Source organism: Homo sapiens, chromosome 3, assembly GCF_000001405.40.
Source record: "Homo sapiens chromosome 3, GRCh38.p14 Primary Assembly".
Taxonomy (NCBI): domain Eukaryota; kingdom Metazoa; phylum Chordata; class Mammalia; order Primates; family Hominidae; genus Homo; species Homo sapiens.
In genome coordinates this window covers 11627555-11640404 of record NC_000003.12, presented here as the reverse complement: position 1 = coordinate 11640404, position 12850 = coordinate 11627555, and the positions used below count along the sequence as shown (strand labels likewise).

Genomic DNA, 12850 nt, shown 5'->3' with positions numbered 1-12850 from the left:
ACTTGAAGCCCAGTTTTGCCTCTGTCTCCATGCAAAGGTCATAGGCCAACCCCAGCCCTCATTTTTTCCCTCCTCTGAACACCTGAGAATACCTTACTAGACTGGCGAAAGCCTCGTGAAGGCAGAGCATTCTGTCTTGGTGACCGCTGCATCCCTGAATCCTAGCACAGGGTCTGAGTGGGCTTTCAGGAAGTGGTTTAGAATGAAGGCTGACTCAAAAAAAAATCAGTGCAAGCTCTCAATGGCAGCTGTAGTTGCTCCTGTATAATTTAATACTTGATTATATACTGCCTTGTATTCTCTATCTAATTATTGCAGAGCTATCCAGGGCCTCAGACATCATCTAATACCTTTGCCTTGTTTTCACCAAGGAAAGTGAGGCTCAGAGAGGGAAACTCTGTTTTTCAGAGAGTTGATTTAGTTTATTTAGAAAGTTTGTGGCAGGATTGAATTGAGTTTTGACTCTTCTATGAATCTTCTATGCCGTGCTGCCTCTCCAGAATTATTTCATGTCTTTTTTTTTTCTTTTGAGACGGAGTCTTGCTCTGTCGCCCAGACTAGAGTGCAGTGGCGCCATCTCCACTCACTGCAACCTCTGCCTCCCGGGTTCAAGTGATTTTCCTGCCTCAGCCTCACTAGTAGCTGGGATTACAGTAGGTGCCCTGCACCATGACCAGCTAATTTTTGTATTTTTGGTAGAGGTAGGGTTTCACCATGTTGGCCAGGCTGGTCTCAAACTCCTGATCTCAGGTAATCCGCCCGCCTTGGCCTTCCAAAGTGCTGGGATTACAGGTGTGAGCCACCGCGCCGGGCTTATTTCATGTCTTATCTCCTCATTAGCTCCGTGATGTTAGGGTCATGCCCCGTCCTGGGTGCCCTCACGGCCTAGCACGGGGATAACACCCTGGATTACAGCACACAGTGGAGCCTCTCCCACTTCTCCTTGCTCTGAAGCCAGTTGCTGGTCCAAATTCCGAGGCTGTTGTGATGTTGGGGAAAGGGTAGGTGAGACACCTCTGAGTGACCGGCCTCGCTGGAAGGTGCTCTTCGTGCTGCTCTGGCACTGGGCTTGCTTTCCTTTTGTCTGCCTGTGCAGAGGAGGAGGCCTGCGTGGATGCCAGCTCCAGAGCCAGTCCCCAGGGAGCAGGGACAGGGACAGGTTAGACCACGGGCTTTCCTCAAGATCGCTGTCGCTGCACTGACATCATCCCTGGGGCTGAGACCTGGGTCTGAGCCCTGGCTGGCTGGGGCTTTACACTGCTGGTAGCGATACTTTAATTATGGGTTAAGAGCCATTAGTGTGTAATTTGGTGGAAGAATTCTCTCCTTTTAATTTAATAGCGTGATTTATATTGGGAGAAAGTAGGAATACATTGCATAGTGTGATCCTCTCAAAGCTTAAGAGCGAATTATTCCGACTTCAAGCTTTAGAACGGTTCATTGTTTTAGGCACAGTTATCCCTTGTTTCATCACGGGCAACTTTTAAATTAATTTTCTGGAATGGAAGGGAAGACGCACACTGGAGAGTTGCTGAGTTCAGTGAGACCCTGTGATCTTTTGTTTTCCACCAGTCTAACCACCAGCGGTTGAGTGGAGTCCTGGCTTCATTGTTCTTTGTCTAATGAGCTCAGAACCTTCAGGAAACTTAGGAGGCTTGGGTAGGTGAAAAGGCCACAGCGCAGGGCCATTTCGTACCCTCTCCTGGTCCCCAGCCCTGCATATCAAGTGACGAGCTCTTGATCTGGGATGTATTCCGAGGTAGAACATCTGTAACTGTTTTGCTGTGGAAAGTCATTTTACTTTAGCTTTTTACTTGCAGGAAAGGATAGGGAGTGGGGGCCAGTGGGGGTTAGGGAGGAAGGGGGAGACAGAGAGAGAGAGAAAGAAACTAGGAGGAGCTTGGTTAGTAAAACATGCCCAGGTGAGCCCAGGAGCTCTGCGAGAGAGCTGGCCTGGCTGGTGTCTTTCTCCTAATTACAGTTTGTGAAGGAAGGTGTGATTATACCCTTCCTTCCAGCTCCCACCCTTGTTTCTCAGCCCGCTTCTCGAAAGATTATTGTACTTGGCTGTTTATCTCTTGGAGCCTACACTTGGCTCCTTCTGGAGGCCAGGTTTGTCTTCCTCCCTCCTTCCTCCGTTCCCTATTGTCTGCGTGGCCTTGTATTCCTAGGGTGCCTGGATGTGTTGCTGTGAAGATTTTTTAAAACATGCGGTAAAGATAGAAAGCAATCCTCCTTGGCACGTGAGGAGATTCCAAACTTCTCAATATAGCTTAGTTCTCCCTGACTGTGAGGATGTTGCAGAAAACTGGATTTTTTCAGGAAGAAATTAGATCCAGATTTAGCACTTACGCATGTACACAAATATATAAAAACAGTCGGACCAGGGAATGTTTCTGGCGATCTTTGTCATCTCAAAGTATCTGACGTTTATTCAGTGGCGGTTTCTATTTAGTGGTATTTATTATTGCACATTGAAGCTCATGGCAACTGTTTTTTAAGACTTGCTCTGCATTGTATTCCAAAACAGTTTTCTCTCCGTCTTTTATTTTTTAATGAACTCATGTGTCATTTCCCACCCCCCAACTCCACAACAAAATCCTAACCGTGGTTGCTTATTTTTAAAAGCAGGACCTGAAAATGATTTTGCTTTCTTCATTTGCTCTCCTTTCCTTTCTGAATGTTACATGTTCTGTAAGTTCGAAGGAATTATTTTTGTCACTTTGCTTTGCTGTCTTGCCTTTTCTGCATTGTTGTTTAATTCTGTTGATTGTTTTAATTTCAAGGTATTATGTATAGAATGTTTTAATCCTATCAATGTGAATCATGACTAGTTGAAAGAATGTTTATTTACTCTAAATGAAATAGAGAATCTATTCTTAAAAGTCCTCTTTAATGTGTTGCTATGCATAGGATCGTTCCAAACTCTTAATATTTCACTCTTTTGTTTGCAAAGAAGTCTGTAAACATGACAAACTGAAATATATCTAGTAAGTGATTAGAGAAAACTTAGTACTAGTACCATTTTGTTATCCATTCTGTTATTAAACATTTATGGAATGCCTATACTCTACTAAGAAATGTATTAGGGATCGATCTCTCAACATGTTTTATAATGAAATATACATACAGAAAAGTGTATAAAAATGTGTATTTTATGGTTAGAGAAATGAACAACCCGGTGACTATGGCCAGGTCAAGAAATAGTAAATCGCCCCTTCCAGGTATTATCTTTTGATCAGATCCCTCCCAGCCCCAAGAGTTCACCACAGTTGTAACTTGCTTTTCTTTATACCTTTACTACCATGTGTCTAATTCTAAACAAATTCTAGCTTTTTTTTTTTTTTTACCCTGTATAGGGAGATGCCTGTATGCCTTCTTTTGTATCTTTTTTGTGAGATCTTTTAAAGTAGTGCACACATCCTGAGAGGTTGTTTTCTCCATGTGAAGCCAGCGTCTCTTTGAGTGTGAGAACTCTTGGCTGTGGGATATACAGACATTATATACAGATAATATATGTCCCAGCTTCCCTTCTCATTCATCTGTAGCTCCACTGTTTATTAAACAGAGTTGGTGATACTTTGGGAAGAACTTTTTTTTCAGTTAGTATTTTGTTCACATTCTTCATCACCTGTTGAAGCCCTCCCACCATCCTTGGTGTAATGGAAAACTAGGAGAAAATTCTGCACAGTTTTGGAGAATGCAACATGGGGGACACTTCCGGAGATACATAGCTTACTTAGGGCCTGAACAGCGACTTTCCTGCTGCATTAATAAACAATTTGCTTAAAGGCTGAGATGTGTTACAAGTCAACTTTGTTGCTGTGCCAGGTTTCTTTGGATCTTAATCCAGGGACTTTTGGATACATAGAAAAAGCTTAAATTGCTCCAGTATCCAAACAATACCCTATATTGTATAGAGATGGCTGTTAGAGAGCAGCACGTTTCTAAAACAATACTCTGCATTATGCACCATCTAAAATTGTGAATGAAAAAGAATTACTCATGTATTGCTCTTGATTTTTATTTTATATCTGTTTTGCATGAAAATAGTTTCCTGTTAATTCTTCTTGGCTAATGATTTGATTTTAATAGAGTGAATTCCAGACTCTAATGGTTTGATGCAGATGTACTCTGCCAAGCAATTTAGCAAAGATGTTTACACTACCCATAATCCAGCTGGGAGACTCTACACTTCTTCCCTGATAACAGTTAAGGGAGTGATGAGTGCAAGTTTCTGGACATTTTCCCCTTAGAAAATAAATGCATCTTCCATTATATGGCAGTACTATTAACGCGACAAGAGATTAATTTAAAATTCTATTTTAATGTCAGCAGTTTTTTTCTTTACCCATGTTCTTCCATTCTTAACTACGCAAGTCCTTTTAAACTATTGTTTTTCTGATGAGCCACTGATAAACTATTGGCTGACCCCAGAAAGAACCTTTGTTTTATTTTCCTGCTGAAAAGTTATGACCTCTTCTCTAATGCTTAAAATCACCCACGAGAATGATCTGGTTCGCTGTTTAAGGAATATGTAATAGCAGCTGTGCCAGGCTTTAAGTTCTACCGACTAGAAAGTAAAGGGAATGGAAAATAGCTGTCATTCTCAGTATAAACCTTATGTGCAGTTTTCTAGCACAGCTCTGCTGAATTCAAAATTCGGAGCAGTTAACACCAGTTTCTGGAGACCAGGCTGGGAGGCTTTTTTCTATTAGAGGCTTCATACCAATAAAAGAGGGCTGATACTGGTAGGGAACAAGGTAAAGTTCCAGAACTCACAGTGGACATCAAGCATTGCGCTCTTGGTGTTTGATACAGTGCATACAGTATTTGGTTCTATATTTTGTCCAATAAAGAGAGAGTGAGTGGGAGAGGACCTTCTTGTGGAGCTGGAAGAATCTGCTCTATATCTTAGAGAAAATAAAAGAACCACATGTTGCTTCCCTGCCTGCAAGCTCTTCTGAATTCATCACCATTCATGTTCCTTCCTTCAGGGGAAATGAAGGCAGATTGTTCTGTTGGTGCTCACAGATCTCTTTCTGTTCTGATACCCTCCTCTTCCTCTCCTGCTTCTTTCCCTTCATCATGTGCTCCTATACAAGTCTCTCCCAACTTTAAAACAAAAACAAACCCTTCCCTAAATCTTGTGTTTGTTCCAGCCATTAGACTGTATCGTCCTTGCCATCCACGTTATTGGAAGAAGGCCAGCTCACCTCTACTCCCTTTCTGCCCTTTCCCTCTTAATCTGCTGTCCTCTGATTTCTGCTCCCACAACTCTGTTGAATTTGTTCCAGACACGGTCACTAAATGATATCCTAGTGGCAAGTTCAGTCTTTTTTAGTCTTTACCTTAGTCTCTTTATGCCATGCAATACTGACTTTTTACAAATTCTTAAAATTCTTGCCTCCCTTTGCTCAAATACTGAGTCCTGGCCAGGGGCGGTTGCTCACGCCTGTAATCCCAGCACTTTGGGAGACTGAGGCAGGCAGATTGCTTGAGCTCAGGAGTTTGAGACCTGCCTGGCCAATGTGGTGAAACGCCGCCTCTACTAAAAATATAAAAATTAGCCAGGCATGCTGGTGCGCGATCCCAGATACTCGGGAGGGTGAGGCAGGAGAATCACTTGAACCTGGGAGGCGGCGGTTGCAGTGAGCCAATATCATCCCACCGCACTCTGGCCTGGGCAACAGAGTGAGACTCGGTCTCAAAAGAAAAAAAAAAAACCTGAGTCCTCATTCCTTCAGAAATAAGGTGCTGGTGCACATATGGTGAGCAACACCAGTGAAGAGGGGCTTGATGGAGCTCCTCGGGGTGAGTAGGCGGGCATAAAAGGGTGACGCAGGCTGATGAGCACTAAAAACAAACTTTTGTCACAGTTTGAGAATGGACTGGAAGGGAATAAGAGATGAAATAGTAATAGGAGAGGATGTGAACCTGGTGCACTGGCTTAGGCAAGAGATAGGGGTAAGGCAAATTCTGACGGTGGCCACAGAGGAAAGCAGTGGATAGACGTATGAGATCCTTAGGGGAGGAGCCTGGCAGGGATTGGTGATGGATTGAACAGCGGATGAGGGAGAGGACGTAGGAGACACTAAGGGTGCCTCCCAGGTTTCCAGCTCCTACAAGCGGATGGGTGGTGCTGCCATCTGCAGAGACAGGAAACACAGGAAGAGGACTAGGTTCTGGGGTGAGCTCATAGGCTTAGCTTCGGCTGCGTTGAGTTTAAAGGCTCTGAGATTTCGAAGAAGAGATAAATAATAGAAAGTTGGGTATATGGTTCTAGAGCTCAGGAGAGGCTGCTGCTGGAGATACTTGGATAGAGAATACTTGAAGCTTTGAGTGAGCGTGGTCACCTGGGGCAAAGGGTGGAATAGGTTGAAGAGGTCCTGGGAACTCCTCTCTTACGAGGTCTCCATTAATTTTCCTGTTAATTGCTAAAATAATCTCTAAACTGCTCCCTGCCTCTAATCTCATCTTCTTCTAGGTTTACATCTGTAATATTACCAGAATATCATTCCGGCTTACCTCTTCAGCCTTACTTTCCATGTTCGCTCACACCCTGCAGTCCACATAACGTGAAACTGCTTCCTGTGAGTAAGCCCTTTTGCCTCTATCTGAAATCTCCCTGTTCCTTTCTCGTGGCTCCTATTAGTCCCTCAAGGGCAAGGGCTTCTTCTGGAAAGTGACCCTCCTCTCCTCTGCCTTCTTTTCTTCATCTTTTTTTTGTTTTTTTGAGACGGTGTCTTGCTCTGTCGCCAGGCTGGAGTGCAGTGGTGCGATCTCGGCTCACTGCAACCTCCGCCTTCCAGGTTCAAGCGATTCTTCTGCCTCAGCCTCCTGAGTAGCTGGGACTACAGGTGCGTGCCACCACACCCAGCTAATTTTTTTGTATTTTTAGTAGAGACGGGGTTTCACAGTGTTGGCCAGGATGGTCTTGATCTCTTGACCTCGTGATCTTGCCCGCCTTGGCCTCCCAAAGTGCTGGGATTACAGGTGTGAGCCACCGCTCCTGGCCCTCCTCTGCCTTCTTGGAGGGATTAGGTGTTTGTATTTTCATGGCATGCTGTGCATACTTCTGCCATGGAATTTATCTCGCTGTGTTACCTCCCTCCTCTGTCTGGCTTACTCTAATTTCTGGGAGGGCTAGGATTTTGTCTTGCAGCTACTCGTTCTTCACACCAGGCAAGTGTTGTCTCCTTATGAATGACTCCAGTGTCTTTTGACTAAAGATAAGCATTGAAATTGCCTGACTAGCCCAAGGATACTCAGCGAGTTGGTGATACAAGTGAGTTTCTTAATTCTTAGAATACTGTTCTTAGAGGCAGGAAAGATAGCTGGGAAAAGGAGGAATATTAATAAGAGGGGAAGAGAGAGAAGAAAAACTCTTTAGGACTTAGCTTCTGTAGGAAAACATTTGAAGTTGGCTGCTTGATTACAGATAGCTGCCCTTGTTCGTCTTGCTTTCTAGTTACTTGACTTTGGACAGTCTGCTAAACGAACTGATCACTGATGGGAAAATATTTAATACCCATTATGTGCCAGGAACTGTTTTATGTGCTGGGGATATGGCTGCTAGCAAAACAGACAGCAAGATCCCTGACTTTATGGAGTGTATGTTCTAGCAGGGGAGACAGATGAGCAACAGGGAAATAAAGAAGATAATTACAGGTTATGAAGAGTCTTATGCCAGGTTGATGTCTGTTAGCTGATTTACTGTTCAGAGTGACTATATCCAAACATGAAAAGGAACTGCTTTTATTTTCAAACTTCAGAATATGAATTTGAGAGGATGATTTATTTTCCCCATGGTCTTCTGAAGGATTTTAAAGTACATTAAGGAAACTTGCAGAAAATTTCTTTGGAATCTTAGGAGTGTGGGATTTTTTTCCTTGATCTGTTAACTATGGCCAGAGTCAGACTGCCTCACTCCATTGTATCTGTCACTATACTGGGAACTAGCATTTATTGAAGCATTATTAGCCTTTTTTAAAAAGAAAGATGAAATGGTTCGTCTTGGGTCTTAATAGGAATGAAATATATGTAGAACTTTTAAATTCAGTGAATTTTATTTTATTTTTTTTTTATTTTTGAGACAGAGTGTTGCTCTGTCACCCAGGCTGGAGTGCAGTGGCACGATCTCAGCTCATTGCAACCTCTGCCTCCTGGGTTCAAGCCATTCTCCCGCCTCAGCCTCCCAAGTAGCTGGGACTACAGGTGCGTGCCATTACACACGGCTAATTTTTGTATTTTTAGTAAGGCAGGGTTTTACTGTGTTGTCTGGGCTGGAATTGAACTCCTGACCTCAGGCGATCTGCCTGCCCAAAGTGCTGGGATGACAGGTGTGAGCCACTGCGCACGGCCAAGTTCAGTGAATTTTAAAAGGCTTAAGAAATTGATGGATTAGTTGTATGTTCTGAAAATACTGTGGTCAGACCTAACGCTGCCTTGAATAGGACAGACACTACAGCACTCCGAGGGGGATTTCTGATGATGAGCTCTGACCTCATGATAGTGGAGTACTTCGTGAGGGCTAGATAAAATGCAAACCTGGGGCTTAATTGGGATAATGGACTGGGATTTTCCACTTGTTCTGTTTTCTTTCTTCCTTTATTTTTATTGAGGCATAATTAATTATGATGAACTCCTAAGGGTATAGCTTTGTAAATTTTTCCCCCCATGTTTTGTCAAACATAAAATTAGATCAAGTTAGAATTTTAAGTGTTTCTCATACATACAAGAGGAGAGTTCATGGACTGGGAGACCTCAAACCCAAAAATGTCACAGTCTTACTTTATAGCAGTTACGGTGCAGTTTAGAGCATAAAGGAGGAATGACCTGACCTTTTTCATGAATGGCTGTCATGTATAGATCCTTAAGGCAGACAGCTGTTTAAGCTGATTTGTTGTTAGTTGATGGGTTTGATCCTTATCAAACCTTATTTTTGTCCTTATCTGCTGATAAGGACAAAAAACTCAGATTTGTGTTTCTTTTATATTTAGGTTTAGTGTTTGGGGAAATCAGGATGACTTAAGTTTTGGTTATGAGTGGTTGGCCTTGGGCTGTCTAAACTTTGGCCTCCATTATTCTGTATTTATTGTTAATAGTCTTTTTGATTGGGGCTGACTACCCAGATCAAGAGGGAGAGCATTCTCATCGCCCCTGAGCCTCCTCGAGCTTCCTTACCAGTCAGTACGCACATCCCCCAAAGAGAACCACTGTTTTGGCTTCTGCAGTTATATATTAGGTTGGCCTGGTCTTGAACGTCGTATAAAGTAATTTGGATCCAGCTTCTTGTGCCTAACGTAGTGTTTCTGAGATTCATGCATGCTCCTGGAGTAGTTTGTTCTTTGGCATTGTCGTCTTATGCGTATACCACAATTTGCTCATCTCTTCTAAACTTGATGGATGATGTTTTAAGTTTCCGGTTTTCAACTATAATGAATGAACTTGCTCAGAATTGTTTATTCTGTGGCCAAGTATATATATAACATAAAACGTATTATTTTAACCATTTTAAGAGGTACACTTTGTTGTACAGTGTTCGAACATTTTTATGCAAGCTTTTTGTGGACATATGTGGTCATTTCTTTTGGGTAAATACTTAGTAGAATTGCCGGATTATTGGGTACGTTTAACTTTTTAAGCAACTGCACAACTGTTTTCCAAAGTGGTTATAGCATCTTACTCTTCTACCAGCAGTGTATAAGCATTTCAGGAACTCTACATCTTTATTTATTTTTTTATTTTTTATTTTTGAGACGGAGTTTCACTCTTGTTGTCCAGGCTGGAGTGTAGTGGCGTGATCTTGGCTCACTGCAACCTCCGCCTCCTGGGTTCAAGTGATTCTCCTCTCTCACCCTCCCCAGTAGCTGGGATTACAGGCGCCCGCCACCACGCCCATCTAATTTTTTGTGTGTTTAGTAGAGCCAGGGTCACACCATGTTGGACAGGCTGGTTTCGAAGTCCTGACCTCAGGTGATCCACCTGCCTCGGCCTCCCAAAGTGCTGGGGTTACAGGTGTGAGCCACCACGCCCGGCCAGGAACTCTAAATCTTTACCAATAATTGATATTGCCAACTTGTAAAATTTCAGTTCTGGTGGGGATTTATGGACAATATTAAGGTGTTGCTCATTGTTAACTTGTAATTCATTACTTATTGGAATGCCTATTATGACACTGTTGATTGGTACTATGTGAAAAAAAGATATATTCCGTACTTTTGGCAAGTTTATTGTCTAAATTAGAGGCTGGAGTATGTATATTTCTTGCCTAATTTCATGGCAGAGGTAGTGATTTTGGTATTGTCAGGGGAGGGGTTGTTTTTCCAAATGGGTAAATCTAAGCCATGGAAACCAGCAGGCAGCCAGATAGAGGGATGTGAAAAAACACCAACGTGGCACAGAAGACTCTTTTTTGAGAACACTTTCCTTTAGCTTAGTATAGCTTTGCTTTATTTCTTATTTGGTAGTGATTCATCCAACCACTGGCCTGTTAAAATAAAGCTCAAGGATTAAGCTCTCGTAACTCCAATTTGATTTATCTTCTGGTTTGCCAACTATTCCCTCTTTAGATTCTTTGAGTTTTTTCTCCCATTTGGAATGCCCTTTCTACTCCTTTCCAGCTACGTGGATTCTTTTTTTTTTTTTTTTTTTTTGAGACCCGTCTCGCTCTGTAGCCCAGGCTGGAGTGCAGCGATCTCATCTCACTGCAACCTCCGCCTCTGCCTCCCGGGTTCAAGTGATTCTCCTACCTCAGCCTCCCGAGTAGGTGGGATTACAGGCGCTTGCCACCACAACTGGCTAATTTTATGTGTTTTTAGTTTCACTGTGTTGGCCAGGCTGGTCTTGAACTCCTGACCTCAGGTGATCCACCTGCCTCTGCCTCCCAAAGTGCTGGGATTACAGGTGTGAGCCCCCAGTTCCAGCCCCAGCTATGTGGATTCTATGTATCTTTCAAGGTGTGGCCCAACCTCGTTTTATGAAATTTTACCTGGAAGATCTTATAGGCAGGAATTGGACCTTAACCTTTTTTTTTTTTCAATCTACATGTTTTGGGAAGAATATTTCTTCTTATTGTCTGCTTTTATTTTTGAATACCAAAGAAATATAGAGAATTGTAGAATCTTTTAAAAACACAGGCATGTATAAAGAATAGGAAAAGATTGGCTACACCCCAGAAACAACCATATTGCACTATTGATTTCAGTCTTTTCTCCTGAGTGTATATAATTTAACACAACCAAAATCATAGTGTGTTTAAAATTTTATATTCTGAATTTTATTTCATTCAGTATTGTGAAAATTGGCTTTGGTTTTGAAATTCTACAAAAAATCATTAATGTCTACTTATTTTTCCTATAGCTATGGCATCATTTATGCAAACACCTCTCTGTAGTTGGTCATTAAGGATATTTCCTATATTTGAAAGGTCTTAATAGATTATGGAAGTGCCTATTTTACTGCATGCTAATCAGCATGCTTTCCCCAAAATCTTTGGCAATTGTTTGGTCCAAAGTAGTATCTCATATTTAAATTTAAAGTTATTAGCAGTGAGATTGATTTTTTTGTTTTTGTTTTTGTTTGAGACAGAGTCTCGCTCTGTCACTCAGGCTGGAGTGAAGTGGTGCGATCTCTGCTCACTGCAAGCTCTGCCTCCCGTGTTCACACCATTCTTCTGCCTCAGCCTCCAGAATAGCTGGGATTACAGGCGCCCGCCACCACGCCCGGCTAAATGTTTGTATTTTTAGTAGAGACGGGGTTTCACCGTGTTAGCTAGGATGGTCTCAATCTCCTGACCTCGTGATCCGCCCGCCTTGGCCTCCCAAAGTGCTGGGATTACAGGCGTGAGCCACCGCGCCCGGCCGAGATTGATTAATTTTTAAATGCTTATTAATTTTTCATATTTGGGAAAACATTTAAACTTTTTTTGATAAATTTTATTTTTTAGTCAACACATTGTATCTATTTTTAGGGTACAATTCGATGTTTCTTTTCTTTTTTTTTTTTGTTTTTTGAGACGGAGTTTCACTCTTGTTGCCCAGGCTGGCTTGCAATGGCACGATCTCGGTTTACCGCAACCTCTGCCTCCCGGGTTCAAGCCATTCTCCTGCTTCAGCCTCCCAAGTAGCTGGAATCACAGGCATGCACCACCATGCTTGGCTAATTTTGTATTTTTAGTAGAGATGGGGTTTCTCCATGTTGGTCAGGCTGGTCTCGAATTCCCGAACTCAGGTGATCTGCCCACCTTGGCCTCCCAAAGTGCTGGGATTATAGGCATGAGCCACCATGCTGGGCCAATTTGATGTTTTAATACATATTTATGTTGTATAATGATCCAGTCAGTGTAGTTCTTGTATTCATTACCTTATCATTTATTTGTTGTGAGGGCCTTCAGAAGCCTCTCATGTAGCTATTTTAGAATATGCAATCTTTTACTGTTAACCATAGTAATCCTCCTATGCACTAGAGCAGCAGAATTTATTCCTCCTATCTAAAGTAACTTTTGTACTTTAACCTTTTAAAATGTCAGTGCCTAGCAAGATGCTTTGTCCTCTTTCAATGTGTGATATGTTTATATCATCCTCTTTTGAATTTCTGTTGAGTTTATAGTCTGTAATATACATTTGGCAGTTATATCACTTTGTATTTTATTGTCTTTAATGTAAATGTGACTGATGAAAAGCAAACAAATGTAACAACCTACACATCTAAATAAGTAATAGTTACCTTGGAAAATTACACATTTAACGTAATACTGCGATGATCTTATTCTCAGAACATTGATTTTTTTTTTTTTTTTTTTTTTTGAGATGAAGTTTCACTCTTGTCACTCAGGCTGGAGTGCAAT

The 12850-nt window shown here is 42.1% G+C and overlaps 1 protein-coding gene across 11 annotated transcripts in view, besides 1 other annotated feature; it reads left to right on the top strand.

The window, feature by feature from the left end:
* VGLL4 (vestigial like family member 4) overlaps positions 1–12850 on the top strand; it is a 165749-nt gene that overhangs the window by 81411 nt on the left and 71488 nt on the right. Inside the window, exon 1 of one of the 11 annotated variants that reach the window (XM_047449261.1) lies at positions 6984–7288. The exons of the other annotated variants lie outside the window; for them this stretch is intronic. The gene's annotated coding sequence lies outside the window, so the exon portion shown is untranslated. Of the gene's footprint in view, positions 1–6983; positions 7289–12850 lie in introns of those variants that run through there. 11 annotated transcript variants of the gene reach the window in all.
* Positions 451–1402: an enhancer, noted in NCBI's record as "H3K27ac-H3K4me1 hESC enhancer chr3:11680477-11681428 (GRCh37/hg19 assembly coordinates)". NCBI's record gives its function as "activates a minimal SCP1, AML or CMV promoter by ChIP-STARR-seq in naive H9 embryonic stem cells {active_cell/tissue: H9 hESC(naive)}" and the evidence as "EXISTENCE:reporter gene assay evidence [ECO:0000049][PMID:30033119]".